Here is a 20,994-nt window from a genome sequence, read left to right as displayed (position 1 = left end):
CATTTTCCCTTCCTGGGCAGTGAATCACTCCTTCTACAGCAGCCGTCATCTAAGCCCAAGTGCTGTCCTTACCTCCACTTCAAGTTCATGAGATATAATCATGCAGTTAGTTACTCAAGGTTGGATCACTCTATGGAGTATGAACGCAGTGTATTATCAAACGAAGATAAGCAAGTTTCTGAACAGTGTAGCTGTGTTCCCATTTGTATTTTTTTGAAAGGATGTATCTGGGGGCCAGGCGTGGTGGCTCACACCTGTAATCCCAGCATTTTGGGAGCCCGAGGCAGGTGGATCACTTGAGGTCAGGAAGTCGAGACCAGCCTAGGCAACATGGTGAAACCCCATCTCTACTAAAAAAAAAAAAAAAAAAAGCTGGGCATGGTGGTGAGCACCTGTAATCCCAGCTACTCAGGAGGCTGAGGTGGGAGAATCGCTGGAACCCAGCAGGCAGAGGTTGTCATGAGCTGAGATTGTGCCACTGCACTCCAGCCTGGGAGACAGAGCGACACGCCATCTCACAAAGAAAAAAAAAAAAGGCTGTATCTGTTTTCTTATATACAGAATATTTAGGGAAGAACACACAAGAAACTGATAATCTTAGGCCTTTAAGAAGGAAGATTCTGGGGAAATTTGAGTGAGAAAGAGACTTAAAAAACTATTGGTGCTGGTTGAATTTTGTTGCGATGTGCATATATTACTTCCTTACAGAAATTTTGAAGAGCGAAAGGAATGCGTATATTCCATATATGTAGACGATATCACACAAATGTTTAAATTTTCTGCAGCTCAAGAATAAAATTATGTTTGAGTGTTTATGCACTGTAGCTGTCATGTAAGGCAACCTTAGATTATTAGGGGAGTGGTCTTCCTCCAATTGAAAGAATCTCTCTATGTATGTCTTTGGACATATTTATTGCCTTTAATGCTTAGCTACAATTTTTACTTTAACATTATTTTATCTAATAACTGACTTTTTAAAAATTAGGTTAAAAATCAGTTTATACTTCCTATTTATATTTGAATATTGATATTTCATGAATTGTCTGAAATCTAACTGCAATTCAAGATGGCACGTAACCTTTCCAGAGATCTACCTTAGACACTAACTGTAAGAAATACTAAAATTCCTTTCATCTTAGCAAACTTCAAAATAAATGTACAGTCAAGCGTCAGTTTAGTAAAAACATGAGCGTTTTCTGAGGAAATCTTTTGTAGTGGATAGAGTAGTTGATTCCTCAACATTCACCCCCACTTTCCATCATGTTGCAGCAGTGAGCTTTGAGGAACTGACCTGAACTCAGTAGATGGGCCCTGGCCAGCAAGCCAATCAGTGATTGCTTCAAGGAACCAGCCCTACATTGTTTGGGTAGCATCGCAAACTGACCCCAAAAGACTGAAGATAGACTGTCTGATGGCTTAGGGAGAGGCAATTTCTCTCTGCTGAATGTAAAGAAGAAAGTGAGCAGGCCTTATTGTAATTGGCAGCTGTCCTATAACCTAGAGAGGAACTGTTACGGGATCTTTGAGGTGTCAATTTTCTTTCTGGAAGCCTCTGTAGCCGGTGGCAATCTTTGGGGTGTCAATTTTCTTCCTGAAAACCTCTGTGGCCAGTGGCACCTTTGCCCTGAGTTCTTGTCCTGCGTCCAGGAAGAATAAAGAATAAAGTATGCAGACAGGTGAAGGGTGAAGAAGATAAAGAGGAGCTTTATTTAGTGTTAGAACAGAAGAGACCCACAGTGGGCAGCTCCTCTCTGTAGTCAGGTCGGCTCCTAGGCAGGCCCTCTCCTCAAGTACTCAGCTCTCAGCAGAGAGAAAGCCCTGGAAAGCGTGGCTCATCTCTGCAGGCAGATCATTTGGAAGTCTCTGCAGGTCTCTGAAGCTCTCAGCAGGAGGGTAGCTCCTCTCTGCAGCGGGTCATCCCATCATCTCTCTGTCCTCTGCCCTCTGCCCTGCTCTGGCTGAGCTGCCGGCTTTTATGGATCTCAGAGGGGAGGAAACGCTAGCCGATTGTTCCATGAGCAGCCATGGGCAGGCCTGGAAGAGGCACCACAGGTCCCCACTCTGATCTGTGGAACTGGACGCCCTACCCCCAGCCTTCAGGCCCTCCCTGGCCTGAAGGTGGGGCCTTACGGGGGACCCAACCCCTTCCGCCCAGGAATCTGTCTGCCTCCCACTGCCATTCATGGTCCCAGGACTTGGCCCCAACCTTGCTCAGAGACTGGAGCAGGCCCAGAGCTGAGAGAGGCCAGGCAGCAGGAGCAGACACCCCGGAGCCTGGGGGACAGGTGTCTTCCCAGCCCCCTGAGGCTGCAGGCTGCAGAGATGCCCGAGTCCTGCACCTGGGAGGGCAGAGGCAGCTGCACCCAGGGAGCTCCCGCCCCCCGCCAACTTGGAAGGAGTGGGGCTCGTGCTTGTCCCCAGCTCCTGCCTGCTCCTTGGAGCGGGAGGCCCAGGTCTGCAGCCGTAGGTCAGGCAGCTACAGCTGCACCCGGGAGGGCAGATCCTGCCTGCTCCCGCCCTCCGACCCCCAAGAGCACAGGGAGGCTCAGTAGAGCAGGAGGCCTGGGCCTGCAACCATGGTTTGGGAGGATGCAGCGACACCCGAGGAGCTTCCGCCTCAACTCAGAAGGGGCGGGGCTCCCGCCAGCTCTATGGAGTGTACAGCCCCAGCCACACCTCCCCGCTGCAGCCGGCATGATGGCAGCAGCCGCTGCCATAAGAACTGGGTTTGAAAATGATATAAACCAGGTGGTTACAGAGCAAAGAGATGGAAAGAACCTAAGTTCTTGATCCAAGTGAGCCTCTGAACCAATCAATCAACATGGAGCCTATCTCTGGACTTTGTGTAAATGCAAGCTGGTCAGTTTTTTATTGTTTAAGTCAAATTGTTTTGTTTTGTTGGTTTGTTTGAGAGCACCCTAATGAAAACATATTTCACCAGAACAGTAAGAAAAATTCTCAATAAATAAATTCCACAGTATCTAGACTAGATCTGGAATACCCTTCTGTTGAGTTTCATGAATATTTTTGTTATAGAAGCATAAACATACTCCAGAGCATATATATTTGTAAAGGTGGTTGGATTTTACAATCTCTCACATTAGGGATGGTGGAAAATGACATGAATAGTATTATACATTAGTCTAGGCTAAGAGATTAGATTAGCATTAAGCAAAATAAGCACATAGCACATGCATAGGGCACCCAGGTAAGGGGCCCACCACAGAGTTTATCATGCTACACTTGATTTCAGTAGCAGTTTTCGTGGTTGTCGTTATCCGCTTTATTCTATTTCAATCTGTGTTGTTTAAAAAGCTTTTTCTTAGGCCGGGCACGGTGGCTCATGCCTGTAATCCCAGCACTTTGGGAGGCCAAGGTGGGTGGCTCAGTAGGTCAGGAGTTCCAGACCAGCCTGGCCAACATGGTGAAACCTGGTCTCTACTAAAAATACAAAAATTAGCCGGGCGTAGTGGCACCGACCTGTAATCCCAGCTACGCAGGAGGTTGAGGCAGGAGAATTGCTTGAACCGGGGAGACAGAGGTTGTAGTGACCCGAGATCATGCCATTGCACTCCAGCCTGGGTGACAGAGCAAGATTCTGTCTCAGAAAAAAAAAAAGCTTTTCTTTGGCATGGTGAATGACTAAAGTATGATGATGTCATCAGATATCACGTTTGTTTTTGTCTTTGGGCATGACAGTTTTGCTTCCTTTGAAGTAAATATAGCTGGCGTTATATGGCTAACATTTTGACTTACCCATTGATTTCCGTAAGTGACCCCCGAGCTCTTTATTTTAAGCAATGGAAGGGCATAAGGACACCCTTGGGGGGTTGTGTTTGAGTCATCAGTTGGCCTTACTGGGCGCTGCAGATACATTTTTGACTGTTAGAGGATTGTATGAAGGCAGGGAAGCAAAATATTTTTCACGATATCTTCATTGTTCTTCATCTCTTATTAGGACCTGACAGATAAAAATTATGGGAATGTTATAAGCTTGTTATAGTCTAGAATTTTCTCTACTTGTGAGAATGAATATAATAATCTTACACAATGCTTCCACAAAGGTCAGTGTTTAATTTAACTGAAGTTAGTGTTTGGACACTAGAAAAAACTATTTGTATATGCTGATAAAATTAAAAAGACCTAAAAATGTGAATAACCATCATAATACAATTAGAAACCTCTTGCAGACTTTTTCAAATTGTAATAAAGCCAGGTCTAGGTCAGGTTTTAGAAATTCATTATATCCTGATGCTTAATCTAGAAACTGACCCTGTAATTCTGAAGCTATATGTCAATGGGTTGGCTTTTTAAATCTATGTATGTATCATCTATCTATCTTCTCTATTGATTGTAGATCTTAAACTCAAAATTCAGCCTTTTTCATGGTTTTAGGTACATTGAGTTTTCTATTTTCCCTTGAGTCAATTTTAGTAAATCACATTTGTATTTTCAGGAAATTGCCTAAGTTTTCAAATTTGATGGCAGAAGGTTGTACAAACCTTTCTTTTATTTTTTATTTATTTTTTTGAGACAGGGTCCGGTTCTGCTGCCCAGGCTGGAGCACAGTAGCACAATCTCAGCTCACAACAACCTCCACCTCCCAGGTTCAAACGATCCTCTCACCTCAGCCTCTGGAGTAGCTGGGACCACAGGGGTACACCACCACGCCCGACTAATTTGTGTATTTTTTGTAGAGATGGGTTTCACCATGTTGGCCAGGTTGGTCTGGAACTCTTGATCTCAAGTGATCTGCCCACCTCAGCCTCCCAAAGTGCTGGGATTATAGGGGTGTGCCATCATGCCGGGCCTTTTCTTATATTTTAAAAATTTCTGCTTAAGTTTGACACTTAGCGTGTATCAATAACCATTATAATTATTACCATGCATTTTTCCTTTGCTATTATATTTTTACTTTTCCCACTAAGTACAATTTTAAATACATTTCACAAATTTGATAAGTACTTTTCAACATCATGATTTCTCTTATGATGATAGTTTCTTTGCCCCATGAATTATTTAAAGAGTGAAGGCAGCTGTAGTATCACAACTTCACAATTAAGAGCACAGGTTTAATAACAGGTTGCCTGGGCTCAATCCCGTCTTTGACACTTACTGGCAGTGTAACTTTGTACAGATTACTTAAACTCTCTGTTTCTCAGTTTCTTCATTTGTAAAGTAAGAATTATAATTGTACCCATGTCATTGGGTTGTTGTGAAGATTAAGCAATTAATAAACATAAAACCCTTAATAAATATAAACATAATACCTAGTACATAATAAGCATTCAGTAAAGCTTAGCTATTGTTGTGCTTTTACATTTGCAAACATAAGAAGTTTTGTATGATTTTTAGCTTTTTAAACATTATTGGCTTTTGATATAATTGCCTTGTGGTCAGAGAATGTGCTTTGTGTGATACAGGTTCTTTAAAATTTTTGGATAATTGCTTTTGCCTGGGTGAATGGTCAACTTACATAATGTTCCACATGTACTTAAAAATAATGTACACAGATTTTCACTTAGTAAACAACCTCAAGTAAATGATAGTGTTCAAATTTTCTCTTCCTTTCTGATTTTTTGTTGGTTAAATTTTCTAATTACTGAGAGAGGTATATTAAAATCTCAGATATGATAATAGACTTGTAATTTTTCTCAAATTCTGTCCATTTTTGCTTTCTATATTTTGAGGTTATGCTGTCAAGTGCATTCAAGTACAGAATATTTGTATCTTTTTGGCGAAATGAAAAGTTTATCATAATGTAGTAATAACTTTATCTCTAATCAAATGCTTGTCCTTTAAAGCCAATCTGTGGAATCGATTATAACTTTAACACCTTTGTTTTGGTTAGCATTTGCCTAGTATAGTTTTTCCCTGATTTTTATTTTAATCTCTGCCTGTTCTTATGTTTCAGGTTATCTCTTAAAAGTGGCATCAAGTTGGACTTAAAAAAATGTAATCAAACTTTGTCTTTTAATTAGTAAGTTTCATTCATCCATATGTATTATGACTAAAGATTTCTGACTGATATACACAATATATTTTGCTTTCTATTGATTCCTTTTCTATACATCTTTGTTTTTCTTTTTTCTTTTGGAATTACTTTGATTTTACTCATTTGTTTTTCCCATTATTCATTTGAAAGTTATATACTCCATTTCTACTATTTTAGTGGTTTCCATACATTTTTAGAATCCATATTCAATATAACAATGTTTAAAGCTAATCAATATCTCTACATTCCCCAAAAATACCAGCAGCCTACAGTGCTTTAAGTTAGATTCCCCTCCCCTACTGTGTTACTTGTCATTTAGTCCAGAAGTTTAGTCTTTTCTCTTTCTAATTCTCATATTCAGCGTTACCATTATTTTAAGCAAGGAACTTTTTCTATTCATCTACATGTTTACTATTTTCTTTGCTTACCATTATTTCTTGCACCTCAGACCTTTATTTTGGAAAAAGTTGTCCTTTTGCTTAAAATATAAACTTTGGAAGTTCATTCTATAAAGCTCTGTTGGTGGTAAATTCTCTGGTTTTGTTTGTCTAAAATTGTCTTACTGATGGCAGCAGCTGCTAGTCATCATGCTGGCTGCAGCAGGGAGATGTGGCTGGAGCCCTGCCCCTTCTGAGTTAAAGTAGGAGCTCCTCAGGGGCCGCTGCAGCCACCCAAAGAGGGGCTGCAGACCCTGGCCTCTGGTTCCATGGAGCAGGCAGAAGCCCCACCCTCCTGGACAGAGCTGCAGCTGCCCAAACTGCAGCTGTCTATCTGAGCCTCCCTGTGCTCTTGGAGGGGCTGGGAGCAGGCAGGATCTCTGCCCTCCTGGGTGCAGCTGCAGCTGCCCGACCCCCGGCTGCAGGCCTGGGCCTCCTGCTCCGCAAAGCGAGCAGGCGAGAGTCTGGAGCAAGTGGGAGCCCCACCTCTTCTGAGTTGGCGGGGCAGGAGCTCCCCAGTGCAGCTTCACGGGGGTCCTCCCAGGTGCAGGACTCAGGCATCTCCAGCTTGCACCCTCGGGGGCACAGGAAGGTGCCCCCCACCCAACCCCTGCAGGCTCAAGTGTGCCTGCTCACCCTGCCTGGCCTCTCTCCACTCCCTGCCCTGCTCCAATCTGGAAGCAGGGTTAAGGCTGAGCCCCAGGGCCATGAGTGGCAGTGGCAGGCAGACAGATTCTTGGGGGGAAGGGGGCGGGTCTTCAGTAAGGCCCCACCTTCAGGCCAGGGCTGCCAGTCTTGCACGGACTGGAGTGGGGACTTGTGGTGCCTTTTCCAGGCCCCTATGGACCAATCTATAGGCACTTCCTCCCGGCTGAAGTACATAAAAGCCCTGGGCCCTGCCAGAGCAGGGGAGAGGACAGCCAGAGCAGAGGGCAGAGGACAGAGAAACAACCAGACCACCAGCTGCAGAGAGGAGCTATCCTCTCCTCTCTGCGAGAGCTTCAGAGACCTGCAGAGAGGTGTGAACTACCTGCCTGCAGAGAAGATTCTCTCTCTCCAGGGCCTCCTATTTCTCCTCTCCACAGCCTGCCCCCCACTCTCCTCTCTCCCCTTTCCAGGGCCTTCTCTCTGCTAAGAGTAGCCGACCACAGGGGGACCAGTGGTCAGAGCGGAGTTACCCTCTCCAGGGCTTCCTCTCCGCTGTAGAGCTGAACACTGAACCACTGGACCCGACAACCTGCCTACAGAGAGGAGCTACCCACTGCGGGTCTCTTCTGAGCTGTTCTAACAGAAATAAAGCTCCTGTTGATGTTCTTCACCCCTCACTTGCCTGCATATCTCGTTCTTCCTGGATGCAGAACAAGAACTGTAAAGGCGCCACTGGCCACAAGTTTCTGGGAAGAAATTCAAAACCCAAAGATCCTGTAATATTATTCACCCCTCATTACTGAAATACATTTTTCCTTGGGGCATAACAACATTTACTTTTGGCTCAGCATTTTAATTGTTTTCCACTGTTTTCTGGCTTCTGTTTTTGCGGGTAAGAGCCTGTTGGCAGTCAATTACTATTCCTCTGTAGATAATCTGTCTTTGCTCTGTCTGCTCTTAAGATAATCTCATTATCTTTATTATGCAGTTTCATTACTATTGTGTATCTTTTTACTCATGATTTCTTTTCCTGTTTCTGAGGATTTGTGCCTTCCATCAATTTTGCAAAATTCTCAACCATCATGTATTTATTTCTTCTACCTTGTTCTCATCCTGTCCTGCATGTCTATCTATCACGCTCTTTCTGTTGGGGTGATCAGACCCAACACCAGGTCATGGGGGTGACAAAGTCCGGTGGAGTCATAGGATTGAGAAAAGCTAGTTTGAGAGAGAGAAGTGGGAGTAGGGAGCCATCATGATCATGGGGGCTGCGAAGGCCCTGAGCTCTGGGAGCCCACGCTATTTATTTGTAATCCAACAAAGAAACAGGTGGTGAGAATGTGGAGGTCAAAACGGCAGGTGCATGATCTACAGCTGTGACGGTTTAGCATTTATATGGAACATGTTCTGCTACTTGAGATAATGGGAATACAATGGATCTAGGAGCCTGGGAGGGCTAGAAGCAAGGAGCCAGCAAGTCTAGACACATTCCAGAGGACATTATGTCAGTCACGCAAGCCCCATCTCAGCATTCTTCCCAACCCTCAGCATTTTTCCCAACATGCTCCCCTTCTCTTTTTTGTAAAAGAAGGTATCATTATTACTACCATTATTACTAGCCATCATTATTACTAGAGTCACTCTGGTTTGAATGCTTCCCACATATCTCCCCTTTCCCTTTTACAAGAGGATCCTTAATCCTAGGGGTTGCAAAATGATGAAGGTCCATCTTCTGTAACTTCTTTATACTGAATAGGGGCAATGATACTCCTGCCTAACCATTAGGGTCTCTTGTATTCAAGGTAGAGAGGAGCTGAGTCAGAAAGCATTGGTCCATTAAGCATCATGACTCTGGTCGGCCCTTGTTGCATCTTCTCATTCAGATTCAACTGGCTCGTGGCTCATACTGGGGGAACTCAGTGCATGGTTGGGATCCATGGGTCCCTCCAGTCTCCCATTCCATGGTCGTACACATCTTAAGGCATCCACATGGTTCATTCATCTCCCGAAAAAGCACAAGTATACCCTCACCCCCCACGTTAGTAAATCTACTGAAACAGAAGCAAAAACTTCTGTGGCTGTAGCCGGGACCATGCCGTTGCTGAAGCATTTGTTAACTCAGTTTCTGCCTCTGATTAATTACTGCGAGGTAAAACTTTCAACTGATAATGGGAAACAGGTCTTTTCTGATTAACAGAAGGCACAGAGAAAGCAAATCGAGGCTTTTCAAACCTTCAATTCGCATTATACAGGTGGGTCCACTAGATGTTGTGGCTCATGATAGATCTTCAGATGTTTGGTGGGCACCCACACAGGCTCCTGATTGTCACCTGGATAGACACAAGCAACTCCTCTTCCCCATATAATTATCTTTCCTTTTTGCCAGCTTTTTGTATGTGACCATATCTTTTTCTAAGGCCTGCAGCATTAAGATGAGTTAAAGAATGGAATGCTTGTGCATCAGCAAAGACTGCAGACACCAGTGCATCTGCCCTTTGATTATTTAAAGGACCAAAAGGTCCTGTTGGAGAGAAAAGAAAGAGCATTTTTATCCTTGCCTCCCTCCCCTCTATTCCCTTTATATTTGCCCTTTGAGCCATAGCTAATTTCATAATTCAGAATGTTCTTGTCTGTCCCTGCAAATCTCTGCTAGTCTTTGCTAGTCTCTACTTTTGTACCTCTTTAGGGCACTGATCAGTAACCTCTACTAGGGCACTGATCTTATATTGCTAGTCTTCATCTATCTCTCTACTTATCTCTATCTCTCTACTTATCTCTCTCTCTCTCTACTTATCTCTATCTGTCTCTATTTGTCTCTGTCTCTATTTGTCTCTACTTTCTTGTCTCCACTTACTTATCTCTACTTACTGACTTATCTCTGCATCTTTCTTGGAAACCTTTTTTATGACCCTGGGTAGAGCTGAAAAATCCACCCTTTATGCTTCAGCAAGAGACAAAACAGGGACCCCAGACCTGGCACCAGATTGAAGGGAACAGGAAGTGCTCTCCCCTCCCCAAAGCAGGGAAACCAGAGTTTGGCCCTTGCAGATTTCCACTCCACATCAGCATCATCCTCAATTCCCTGGAATGAATTGTTGATCATGGCAGTTAACATACTTAGCAAAACAATGACCATTGTAACATTATAGGCTCCATAAATAACATAACCAATGTTTTCAATGAATTTGTGGTTATAGTTGATGACCACTGATTTCACTTCAGAAAGTCCAAATATAGCCTAGAGCAGTGTCTTAAAACTCTGTTGTGAAGGCTTCACTTTGTTTTGCACCAATGTAGTAGTAGAGGTTGAACATTCCCATCATAAAGGCCACAAACACCACAATGAACACATTCAGCCCATATCATGCCTGTGTGCTTATTAAATCTGTTTTTCTCCAGCAGAGGCAGGTTAAACATGAAACTGAAGCTTCAAGATGACTTGACTTGCCCTACGCAAAGCAGCGCATGATTTATTTTTTCCGGAGACTACTGCCAACCAGGCCTGTGTGTCAGTCTGTAAGCATCCAACAGCAGGTCTACTGTACAAATAGGTCTTTTGTCAGACACTTGATTAACCCAAAATACAGCCTTTCCTGTTGGATTAGTACTACCAAAGCCTCCTGTTCTTCTCACTGTGCTGCTTCCCAGCTTTATGTCAACAACTGAGCAATTCTTTTTCCTGGGGAAGCAGACCACAGAGTTGAGGAACTAATAACTAATTGAATTTCTCTGGTATAATCAGAACCAATCATTTCCGTATGCACAGTGCCACCTCTAGATCTTTCAAGTAATAGACCGACGGTTCCTGAGGGCAAGGGTCCCCCAACTCCCGTGGGGACCCTCTCCAGTGGCTCCCAGGAAGCAGGGAAATGAGAACTGTGCTGCAAAGGTCCACGGCAGCACTGCCCGCCGCGGTGGGAGACAATTGTTGCCGTTTGTAAGGGCACTGGCTGTGCCGGATATGCCTCAGTTTATTGAGGTGCTCTCTAAATAAACAAGCCTCAGATTCCACTGGGTCTTAGTACTACCAATTGCTCCAGGTTTTAATGTTGCAACTACAGGAGCGGTAAGTTTTGTAGCTAATTCATTTTCTCGCCCACTAAGGGGAGAGAGAGGAGGTGGCCATTCACTTAATTCAGCAGGTGGAGCTGAGGGGCTAGTAAAACATACCTTTTTCGGTTTCCCTTTCTTTGATTTCCTCCGGTTTCTGTTCCTCACATTCAGAATCTGAAGTTAGTTTTTTACACTCGCCCTCCTCTTCCTCATCTGAATCTGCCTCATGATCTGTTTGAAATGGCTCAAGAGCTGCTTTTATTAGTGCCCACATTGACCAAACCGAGACTGGAATATTTGCTCCACCTTTATATGTTTTTTTAAAAATCTCTGCCAATTCTCTCCCATTCATCCAACTCCATAGTCCCTTGTTCCGGGAACCATGGGCAAAACTGCTTTACTGCACTGAAGAGTGATAAATTCTGAGCACTAACTTTCACTCCCCCCTCTTCATAATAAACGCCTTAAGAAATTTAAATAAGCAGAATGTCTGCTTTCACTTTGTCCCATTGCTACCCTGGTTCTTCCCAGCACTCAGCTTTCCTGCTGAGCTTCTTTTAGACATCCTCAGGTGTCCTCTGATGATGCGTCCTCTGCTTTCACACGCTCTAGCGTTCCTTCACCGGGGTCTTTGTCACCCCACATTGAGCAGCCAGGAACGTTGGGGTGATCAGACCCAACACCAGGTCATGGGGGTGACAAAGCCCGGCGGAGTCAAAGGATTGAGAAAAAGCCAGTTTGAGACAGAGAAGTGGGACCAGCGGGCCATCACGATCGTGAAGGCCCTGAGCCCTGGGAGCCCCCGCTATTTATTTGTAATCCAACAAAGAAACAGGTGGTGAGAATGTGGAGGTCAAAAGGGCAGGCACATGATCTACAGCTGTGACAGTTTAGCATTTATATGGAACATGTTCTGCTACTTGAGATAACGGAAATACAATGGATCTAGGAGCCTAGGAGGGCTAGAAGCAAGGAGCCAGCAAGTCTAGACACATTCCAGAGGACATTATGTCAGTCACGCAAGCCCCACCTCAGCTTTCTTCCCAACGCTCAGCTTTTTTCCTTAACACTTTCTCTTTTATTAGAGACAAGATCTCACTCACTCTGTTCCCCAGGCTGGAGGGTAGTGATATGATCATGGCTCATTGCAGTCTCAAACTCCTGGGCTCAAGTGATTCTCCCACCTTAGCCTCCTGGGTAGCTGGGACTACTGGTGAGAGCCACCTACATGTCTCTTAACCATGAATTATGTTCACAAAAATCCAAACTTCAGAGTCATTTTGTATAGACCTGTGGTTACAAATTCTCAAAGGCGACTTTCTTTTTCTACTAATAACCCAGCCCAAACCAGAAAAATTTACTTCTGGTTTCCTTTGCTCTGATGTGAGTTTTTTTAGTTGGTCCATTGTCATCATGGGTATTGCTCTCCAAGGATCCTCCCTTGCTCTGGCAAGTTCATCTTCTGTCTCCCAGTAGCCATTAAAATAACCACTTTTAGGTTACCAACATTGCTAAATGCATGGGAGGCAGTGAAGGTTTTATTGTCAGCTTTCTATTCTGATTTCCAGCTCCCTTTTAGTTTTGAATGATGAGAATTTCTTTGACCTTCTATGAGGTCATTTATACTTTTATCAATATGATTATCACATTTTATCTTGTATTTCCAGATGTTTGCACTGGAAGGAATGTTTTGGCTATCTAGTCCACCATGTTCCTGGATATGTATGTCCCCAAGGTGGTTTTCATTCCATCCCACAGTTGTTGGCATTTCCTAACAATATCTCCTCAAGGGCTCCATGAGAAACAGTTACATCTGCCGTGTATTCCTCACTAACAACCCCCTCCCCAATTTTCTTTTTAATTACTGTAGTCCTGCTTAACTCTCACTACACAAAAGAATCTTTATTCACCTCTCATCATCCTGCTACTTCAGACAACACTTTAAAGGCACTGGTCCCACAGTTCTAGCTCATAAGTAGAATAAATGGAAAAAGAAAAAATATGTGTGTGTGTGTGTGTGTGTGTGTGTGTGTGCAGTGTGTATCTATTTATATTCATTTCCTAACTACCAATACTTTGCATTTCCAAAATTGCACCTACTACCTCCATGCCCAGTTCTTGTATTTTACAAAAGCCTGTTTGTGGTGAGCCTTCCTGGCTCTGGAGATAGCTTTGTCCTTTCCCATGGCACTGTGACAAAAACTGCAGCTACCTCTGCAATTTTGAAGTCCTCAGGATATCCATCCCTACTCTAGGAAATAGAACTCTGATTTCTCTGTTTGTGATATTAGGCAACTCTTTTCTGGCATCCAAATCAATCAGTTTTCACAAGAATCTGATGATGTTTGTGATCACAGTCGGAGTCTGTGGAGCCCTACCTGTAGATTCCAGCTACCACTAAGATTTCAGATCAGCTGCCACTCCCCTGACTCAGTGAACTCACTGCAGCTTCAGCATGGATTGCAATCTCCGTTCCGAGCCAGGCCACCACATACAGTTTGCAGGTTGTGCATTGAACAGTTTTAAGAAACACCTGTCAATTGAGAAAAATGACAAGATAAGTCTCAATCATTTTAGGAGGTTTATTTGCCAAAGATATAAGCGTGTGCGCCCGGGAGACAGGACTATGCCTTTCTCTGAAGTTGATTTTAAGGGCTCCAAATTTAAAGGGGAAAGAGCGGAATATTGAGAAGTACACAATTTCCATGTAAGAGGAAGGTAGGGAAAAATAGTCATTCATGCCTTTGTCTGGCTCAGTGAATCTACATTTTTTTACATAAGATGACATAGACAAATGAGGCAGAGGAAAACTGCAGGGAATCTGCATTTTACATAAGATAATATAGACAAAATGGGGCAGGGGAACATCAGATATGCATATGTGTCTGGTGGGCTGGGGGTGACTCCACCTATAAATATAAGCTATCATTTTACATTGCCATGGTGAAATTTTAACAGAAATACATTAAAAGATCTTGCAGCTCACTAGGAATTTCCTTGAGGGCAAATGGGGGGAGGCAAGTAGCTTTACATCTTGTAGCCATCTTATTTAGGAACCAAAAGGGGGAGGCGGGTTTGTGTGACCCAGTTCCCAGTTTGACTTTTCCCTTCGGCTTAATGAGTTGGGGGCCTCAATATTTAATTTCCTTTCACACACCATTCATACTGTATTTATCATAGAAAAACAATAAATACGTATCATAGAAATGGTATGATAAATACGTATCATAGATAAATGATAAATATATTCTGGACAAAAAGCACTCAAGTGTCTTCATGAGAATTTTCTACTTCACACAGAGACACCAGGTGGGCTAGAAGCAGTTGCGCACACAGCTCTGTATTCTCATGTGCTCATTTCTAGACACATTGGTGCTTGGTCCATAGGAAGCATCAATGTGTTAAGCATTTGGGTCTAGGAAGCTGCAGGAAACAAAATACTCCTTTATTATCGCAGGCAAGCCTGTGATATAAATTAGAATGTAGGGCTGTGTTGGAGAATTCAGCAAAAAACAGGAGGCCTTTGTGAGACCTGCTCTTTTCTTATTCTTTGTCAGTTCTTCGGAGCAGACCATTCAGTTTTAGGCAGAGAAATTAGATTTGAGCATGTATGCACAGAAACACATCTTTTAATAAGGCGCCCTCTTCCACTGGCCAAGCATGCACCAATGAATCTTCCAAGCTATCAACAATGAGATTAAATACTAGTGTAGGTCCAGTGTAATGAGGGGGTATAGAAGTGTGTCTTCCCCCAGGAACAAAGTGGAAATGTAAAGAGAGGGAACTGTATACTCCCATTCCCTCATTTCTCAGTTACTGTTTTGATTACATTGCTTTGAGAGTTAATAATACAATAAAGAAACAAAATGTTATAAGAAGTTATTACTTGAAAGAAATAAAACAGTATTGTTATTTGTAGGTAATAAAATTCAGGAAAATCCTAGAAGGGTATGTGTGTGTATATATATATATATATATATATATATATATATATATATATATATATATATAAAATAATCATAATTTATTTAAAGAAGAAATATATAAATAGCTTTTACAAAGATATAAACAGATTCAAATAGATGTTAGAAAACAGTGGAGTTTGGTTGAAATTTCCCTTCCATTCCCCCTTCTTTCTTCCTCCCTCTCTCCCTTTACTTCCTTTCTTTGTTTTCTTTCTTTCTTTCCTTTTAAAACTATACTTCAAAAATTAATTATCTGAGATTAAAATTTTGTAACAAGAAGGCATTATTTGTAGTCACAAAAACTGAGAAATCAGCTTAAATTAATAGTAACAATAAAGACTCTAATAAAGTAAAGATATATATTATGAATTAGGTCGGGGTCTGCATGACTACATAAGATAAATTATGAAATTATATTGGTATACAGAAAAGAATATTTCAGAAATCTCTTCTATACTGGTAAAGAAGTAAAATAGTTTCTCTAATGGATGGATTGCATTAATCAACATCAATAAAAATTCCCACCTAATTATTTTATAGAATCCATAAAATAATTCTGAAATTAATTTTGAATAAATTGGTAGGCAATAATAATAAATGATCTTTAAAAAAGAAGAAGAACAGAGCAAGGAAAAAGAGCTATTCCTTTCCCATGTTAGAATGCATTTTAAATGTGGTGCTGACATAAAAACAGAAATTTCAAATATTATGATGGAGTGGAAAGCTATGAGTATATGAAGTTAAACATAAAAATTTTATAATGAGATAAGAATCATAAGTGAGATATATATGTGTGTGTGTATATGTATGTATATTTGTGTATGTATGTGTGTGTATATATGTGCATACATATGTGTATATATGTGTGTGTATTCCATATATATGCACATATTGTATACACTTTGTAACCTCATCAATAAGCAGTACATGAGCAGTTCAGTCACACAAAATGAAAATCAATAGCCATTTTAAAATCTAATATTGTTAGTCATAATAACAAATCATAGCAAGATCTCATTTATATCTACTAAACCCAAAAGAAAAAAAAACAAGCATAATATTTAATTCAGGTATGTCTTCAAGGTAACTGGCAAGTTCTTAACATTTTTTGGCATTACTCATTAATTTATTTTGGATTCCTCTTTGACAATATGCGTTAAAATCCATAGAGATATTTATATCCTTTGTTCTAGTAAAGCATATCTTAAGGATTTATCTTAAAATAATTCAAAAGAGAGAACTATATTCATGATAATGTTTACTGCAGCATTAATTATAAAAATGGAAAATTGGGATAAACTTAAAATGTTCAACAATAGAGGCAATGGGTAGGGAAAGTCTCATTTTAAGACTAGGTTAAACATTCTGTGCTTCTTTCTTTTGTTTTTTGGAGTGCAGTGACATAATCATGGCTTACTGCTGCATCAAACTCCTCGGCTTCCCAAGTAGCTGGGACTACAGGCATGGACCAGCACGCCAGGCTAATTTTTTAAACATTTTGTTAGAAATGGGGTCTCACTATGTTGCCCAGGTTGATCTCAAACGCCTGGGCTCAAGTGACCCTCCCACCTTGTTTGTTACTATTTATCATGTAATTGCCGTGAAGCAGGTATTTTATATACGATCTCTAATTCTCACACTCATTCTGCAAGTTACGTATTTTTCATTCTCAATTTAAAGTTTTGAGATCTGGTGCTCTAACAAGACTAAATAGCTTACTCAAGGCTAGTAAGTGGTGGAGCTGGACCTTGAACCCCTGCATGACAAGGCCTGCTTCCCTTGGCCTGGTCAAAGGGCAAAAGCCCTGCTTACAGTTCCGACTGAAGGAACAGCCTTTGGCAGGCACATTCTGTCCATGTGATTTCTGTGACCTTATCGAAATTGCCCTTCCTGCCAGATACCACCAGGCCTGGAGTCTGACCCAAGGGCAGCCAATCCAAGGTCAGGCTAGTAGCTCATGATAGGGCTGTCATGAAAAGTTCTGTTAGATAGAGAAGAAAGGAATTATCTAAACTATCTAATTCCCTCTCTTACTAATTTAGCTTTGGAAATACAGAGCAAATCAGGCAGTTGTCAGGAGCTGAAGGTAGGAGAATGTGAGACAAGTATAGAAAGCATTTAAGAATGCATATGTTAACTAGATGAGACAGAACTAAATTGCTATTGAGAAATCGATGCTCTTTTGCTGGAAAAAAAAAAAAGAACTAAACTGCTAGATCACCAGTGGCAGAAAAACCAGGCAAGAGAAGGGATGGGTGGGAGGATGAAAACACGTTCAAATCAGGCAGCAAAGAATAGTAAAAATATGAAGTAAAGGGAAGTAATTGCAGACCATACTCAATTCTGCAAACATTGCCTATCCTATAATATCAATATCCTTCATGATTGATACAGTTTTGACTTTTGTTCCCTCCAAATCTCACGTTGAAATATGACCTCCAATGTTGGAGTTGGGGTTTAAGGGGAGGTATTGGATCATGGGGACAGATCCTTTATGAATGGCTTAGCATCATCCTCTTGGTAATGAGTGAGTGCTTGCTCCGAGTTCCCACACATGTGATCTGGTTGTTTGAAAGTGTGTGGCATCTCTCCGTGCTCTCTCTCTCTTGCTCTCAGCTCTTGCCATGTGATGCGGCTGCTCCTGCTTCACCTTTCACTGTGACTGGAAGCTTCCTGATGCCCTCACCAGGAGCAGACCCTGGTACTTTGCTTCTTGTATGGCCAGCAGAACCATAAGCCAATTAAACCCCCTTTCTTTATAAATTACCCAGCCTCAGGTATTTATTTAGAGTGATGCAAAAACAGCCTAACATGGTAATCTAGTTACTTCTAGAGATTCGTCTCCTGTATGTCCTTACTTGACCTCTTAATTCCAGCTACCCAAACAGCTTGCATGGAAAGTACAAGTGCACTGCTCCAGGTATCAATTTATTGTCTCTCAGCTCCAGATTCACCCTTTTGCCTGAACTAGTAAGTACACCATGCTATCCCTCCCTAGAGGGCATTTTCATTTACCTAGCCAATTCCCTTGTGCCCTCCAAGACTTGGCACAAGAGAAGCTTTCTCTAAGGAGATTCCCATGGTCTCCACCAGACTGAATCCACCTGAGCACATCTCCATTGAGACTCTCTTGACTATTACAGCATTATATCAAGGGAGTTTCGTCTGAGAGTTCTAAGTAATGAGCAGATATGAATTAAGCAGAAACCAGAAGAGAGGCTCAAACGGCAACTGTAGCAAGAACTGACTCAGGAGACAACACAGCACCAACCCCTCAACATGCCAGAGGAAAGTGCCCCCTCAAGAGAGGAAGGTAGATGCTTGAGTTACAATCATTCGCAAATCCCTATTTACTTCCTGAGTTTAAGTAGATATATTTTAAAATACAGCTTAAGATATATACAGATATATTATTAAAAGCGTGAAATAAATAGACTTTTTATCCATTTGTAACTCAGGCAAAACTAATCTAGTTCTAAGTTAATGAGAATGGCACACTGTAATAGCAATTTGTGTTATAAATGGTTCTTGAGGCAACCATCTGTACTACACAAATAAATTTGCCCCTGAAACTGCAAGGCGACATTCTCCCTGAGTCCTTCAGAGAATCCACATGCAAATTTGCCTGGCTGACTGCCTTTGCTTTATCCATTTGGCTCACCAGTTTGTGGGCAAATTTATATATAAAATTGCAAAAGCTGGCCTGGGACTCTAGAGTGCGGAAAAAAATAATAAAAATAACAGTAATTTGTATTTATGTAGGTAGAATACTTGTACTAAATGATCAGATAATTTCAAAATATTATCTCATTCATTTCCACCATAATATCAGAAGCCTGGGAAGTATAAACAAGTATTTTAAAAGCATGATTTTGTAAGAAGTATTCCCAGCGGTCTATATTAGTGTGAATCAGATATGGGTGCTGTGATTTGTATGTTCCCAGGGAAATGTTCTTTCTACTCAGAAACTTGCTTTTTTTAACCAACTGATTATTTCAGATGACGTCAATTTTTATTTCTTTATCTGCTATGTCTAAGAGCTACTAAACAATGAACCTGAAACTAGAAATAAATAAAATCATAAGCCACAAACTTTATAACACAAGGAACATACAGCTTAGTTATTCTTCACAGTAACTTTGCACCACTTCTAAAAATAAGACACATTTTTTTCATGCTTTTAAAAATGTCATTACAGATTTAATAAGGCTAATTGTAAAAAGATTGAAAATGTAGAAAACTAAAACAAGAAAAATGAAGTTATCTGCAATCTTAATACTCAAGAATAACTACTGTTAATAGTTTGGTACATCTTTCAGCCTTTTTTAAAGGCTCCTATTAATATATAAACTTTATGTAATTCATACAGATCTTGTTTTTCAAATGCTACATAATTTGAATTTTCTGCAATGACTATTCTTTATAAAATTCATTTTAATGACTGCATACTTATATATTACATGAAACCATATACTTTGCCTTACTTTACTTCTTGCCTGTTTCCTCCTTCACAGTCCAGATTCCAGCTATACTCCATTAATTTCCATGTATCATGTTCTCCCTCACCCACCGATCCTGCACTTGCTGGACATTCTAAGTCATTTTACATCTTTCCCCTCTCCATCCCTTCTGTGTCCCCACTTCTCCTCCTACTCCTTTTTTTCTAATTAATACCTGCTGGTCTTTGATGAAAGGATAGTGTGTAAGATTTTAAAAAGGAAAGGAAGCTTAGAATTAAGTCTTGGGTACCTCAATTATTAGAAGAATGTAGAAAAAAAGACACTGACAAATGGCTGAAGAAGAAAATCAGGAGAGTATGGCATCGTGGAAAGCAAGGAAGGGGAAAAAAGGTGTCAAAATTTAAAGACCAATGGAACAGAATACAGTCCAGAAATAGACCCAAGCGTTTATCATCAGTTGATTTTTAACATGGGAGACAAGATAATTAAATAAGGAAAGGATAGTCCTTTCAACAAGATGTGCTGGAATAACTAGATATTTATACTGAGAAGAACTCCAGCCCTTACATCATACACAAAAATCAACTCAAATTAAATCATAGACCAAAATATAAGTGTGTAAACTACAAAACTTCTAGAAAAAAAACATAGAATAAAACCATTGAAATTTTGGAGTAGGTAAGAACTTTTGGATAAGACACACAACTATGAACTGTAAGGGAAAAATTTCATAAAGTGAACTTAATCAAAATTAAGACCTTCTTGAACAACATCATTAAAAAATGAAAAGGAAAGTCATAAAGCAGGACTAAAAAAACTTACAACACATGTATCTGACAAAGGATTTATCTAGAATGTACAGAAAGCTCTTGCATCTCAATAATAAGAAGACAAAAACCCATTAAAAAAACCAAAAGATTTGAACAAACAATTCACAAAAGAATATACACCAGCAGCCAGTGAGCACAAGAAAAGATGTTCAACATAATTAGTTGATATAGTTTAGATGTTATCTCCTCTAAATCTCATGTTGAAATATAATCCCCAGTGTTGGAGGTGGGGCCTGGTGGGAGGCATTTGGGTCATGGGAGAAGATCTCTGATGGCTTGGTGCTGTTTTCATGATAGTGGTCATCACAGATAGAGTTCTCATGAGATCTGGTCATTTAAAAGTGAGAGGCACCCTCCTCTCCACTCTCAGTCTTGCTCCTGCACTGACCATGTAAGATGCCTATGCCTGCTTCGCCTTCTTCCACGAGTAAAAGCTCCCTGAGGCCTCCCTAGAAGCCGAGCAGATGCTTGTGCCATGCTTGTACAACCTGCAGAACTGTGAACCAATTAAATATATTTTCTTTATAAATCACTCAGTCTCAGATATTTCTTTATAGCAACACAAGAATGGCTTAACAGAAAATTGGTGCCAGGAATAGGATATTG

At 41.1% G+C, this 20,994-nt stretch overlaps 2 long non-coding RNA genes and 1 pseudogene across 2 annotated transcripts, besides 7 other annotated features; all 3 read right to left on the bottom strand.

The window, feature by feature from the left end:
• Positions 1,678-3,524, bottom strand: LOC105369534 (uncharacterized). The gene is made up of 2 exons (XR_948109.4): positions 3,481-3,524; positions 1,678-2,034 (listed from the first exon to the last, which is right to left on the bottom strand). It is a non-coding gene; the product is annotated as an uncharacterized LOC105369534 (long non-coding RNA).
• Positions 1,773-2,359: an enhancer, noted in NCBI's record as "H3K27ac-H3K4me1 hESC enhancer chr11:121117070-121117656 (GRCh37/hg19 assembly coordinates)". NCBI's record gives its function as "activates a minimal SCP1, AML or CMV promoter by ChIP-STARR-seq in naive H9 embryonic stem cells {active_cell/tissue: H9 hESC(naive)}" and the evidence as "EXISTENCE:reporter gene assay evidence [ECO:0000049][PMID:30033119]".
• Positions 3,525-3,560: 36 nt separating the features above from the next.
• Positions 3,561-11,917, bottom strand: LOC105369533 (uncharacterized). Its single transcript, XR_948108.3, has 3 exons — positions 11,251-11,917; positions 3,757-3,961; positions 3,561-3,598 (listed from the first exon to the last, which is right to left on the bottom strand). It is a non-coding gene; the product is annotated as an uncharacterized LOC105369533 (long non-coding RNA).
• Positions 8,199-8,747: an enhancer, noted in NCBI's record as "NANOG hESC enhancer chr11:121110682-121111230 (GRCh37/hg19 assembly coordinates)". NCBI's record gives its function as "activates a minimal SCP1, AML or CMV promoter by ChIP-STARR-seq in naive H9 embryonic stem cells {active_cell/tissue: H9 hESC(naive)}" and the evidence as "EXISTENCE:reporter gene assay evidence [ECO:0000049][PMID:30033119]".
• Positions 10,032-10,416, bottom strand: TRPC6P5 (TRPC6 pseudogene 5; annotated as a pseudogene).
• Positions 10,953-11,492: an enhancer, noted in NCBI's record as "H3K27ac-H3K4me1 hESC enhancer chr11:121107937-121108476 (GRCh37/hg19 assembly coordinates)". NCBI's record gives its function as "activates a minimal SCP1, AML or CMV promoter by ChIP-STARR-seq in naive H9 embryonic stem cells {active_cell/tissue: H9 hESC(naive)}" and the evidence as "EXISTENCE:reporter gene assay evidence [ECO:0000049][PMID:30033119]".
• Positions 11,493-12,032: an enhancer, noted in NCBI's record as "OCT4-NANOG-H3K27ac-H3K4me1 hESC enhancer chr11:121107397-121107936 (GRCh37/hg19 assembly coordinates)". NCBI's record gives its function as "activates a minimal SCP1, AML or CMV promoter by ChIP-STARR-seq in primed H9 embryonic stem cells {active_cell/tissue: H9 hESC(primed)}" and the evidence as "EXISTENCE:reporter gene assay evidence [ECO:0000049][PMID:30033119]".
• Positions 11,955-12,144: an enhancer, noted in NCBI's record as "active region_5641". NCBI's record gives its function as "activates an Ori minimal core promoter by ATAC-STARR-seq in GM12878 lymphoblastoid cells {active_cell/tissue: GM12878}" and the evidence as "EXISTENCE:reporter gene assay evidence [ECO:0000049][PMID:35858748]".
• Positions 11,955-12,572: a biological region, named in NCBI's record as "OCT4-NANOG-H3K27ac-H3K4me1 hESC enhancer GRCh37_chr11:121106857-121107396".
• Positions 12,033-12,572: an enhancer, noted in NCBI's record as "OCT4-NANOG-H3K27ac-H3K4me1 hESC enhancer chr11:121106857-121107396 (GRCh37/hg19 assembly coordinates)". NCBI's record gives its function as "activates a minimal SCP1, AML or CMV promoter by ChIP-STARR-seq in naive and primed H9 embryonic stem cells {active_cell/tissue: H9 hESC(naive and primed)}" and the evidence as "EXISTENCE:reporter gene assay evidence [ECO:0000049][PMID:30033119]".

This window comes from Homo sapiens, chromosome 11, assembly GCF_000001405.40.
Source record: "Homo sapiens chromosome 11, GRCh38.p14 Primary Assembly".
Classification (NCBI taxonomy): Eukaryota; Metazoa; Chordata; class Mammalia; order Primates; family Hominidae; genus Homo; species Homo sapiens.
The sequence above is the reverse complement of the archived record's forward strand: the minus strand, read 5'-3'. Positions and strand labels throughout refer to the sequence as shown.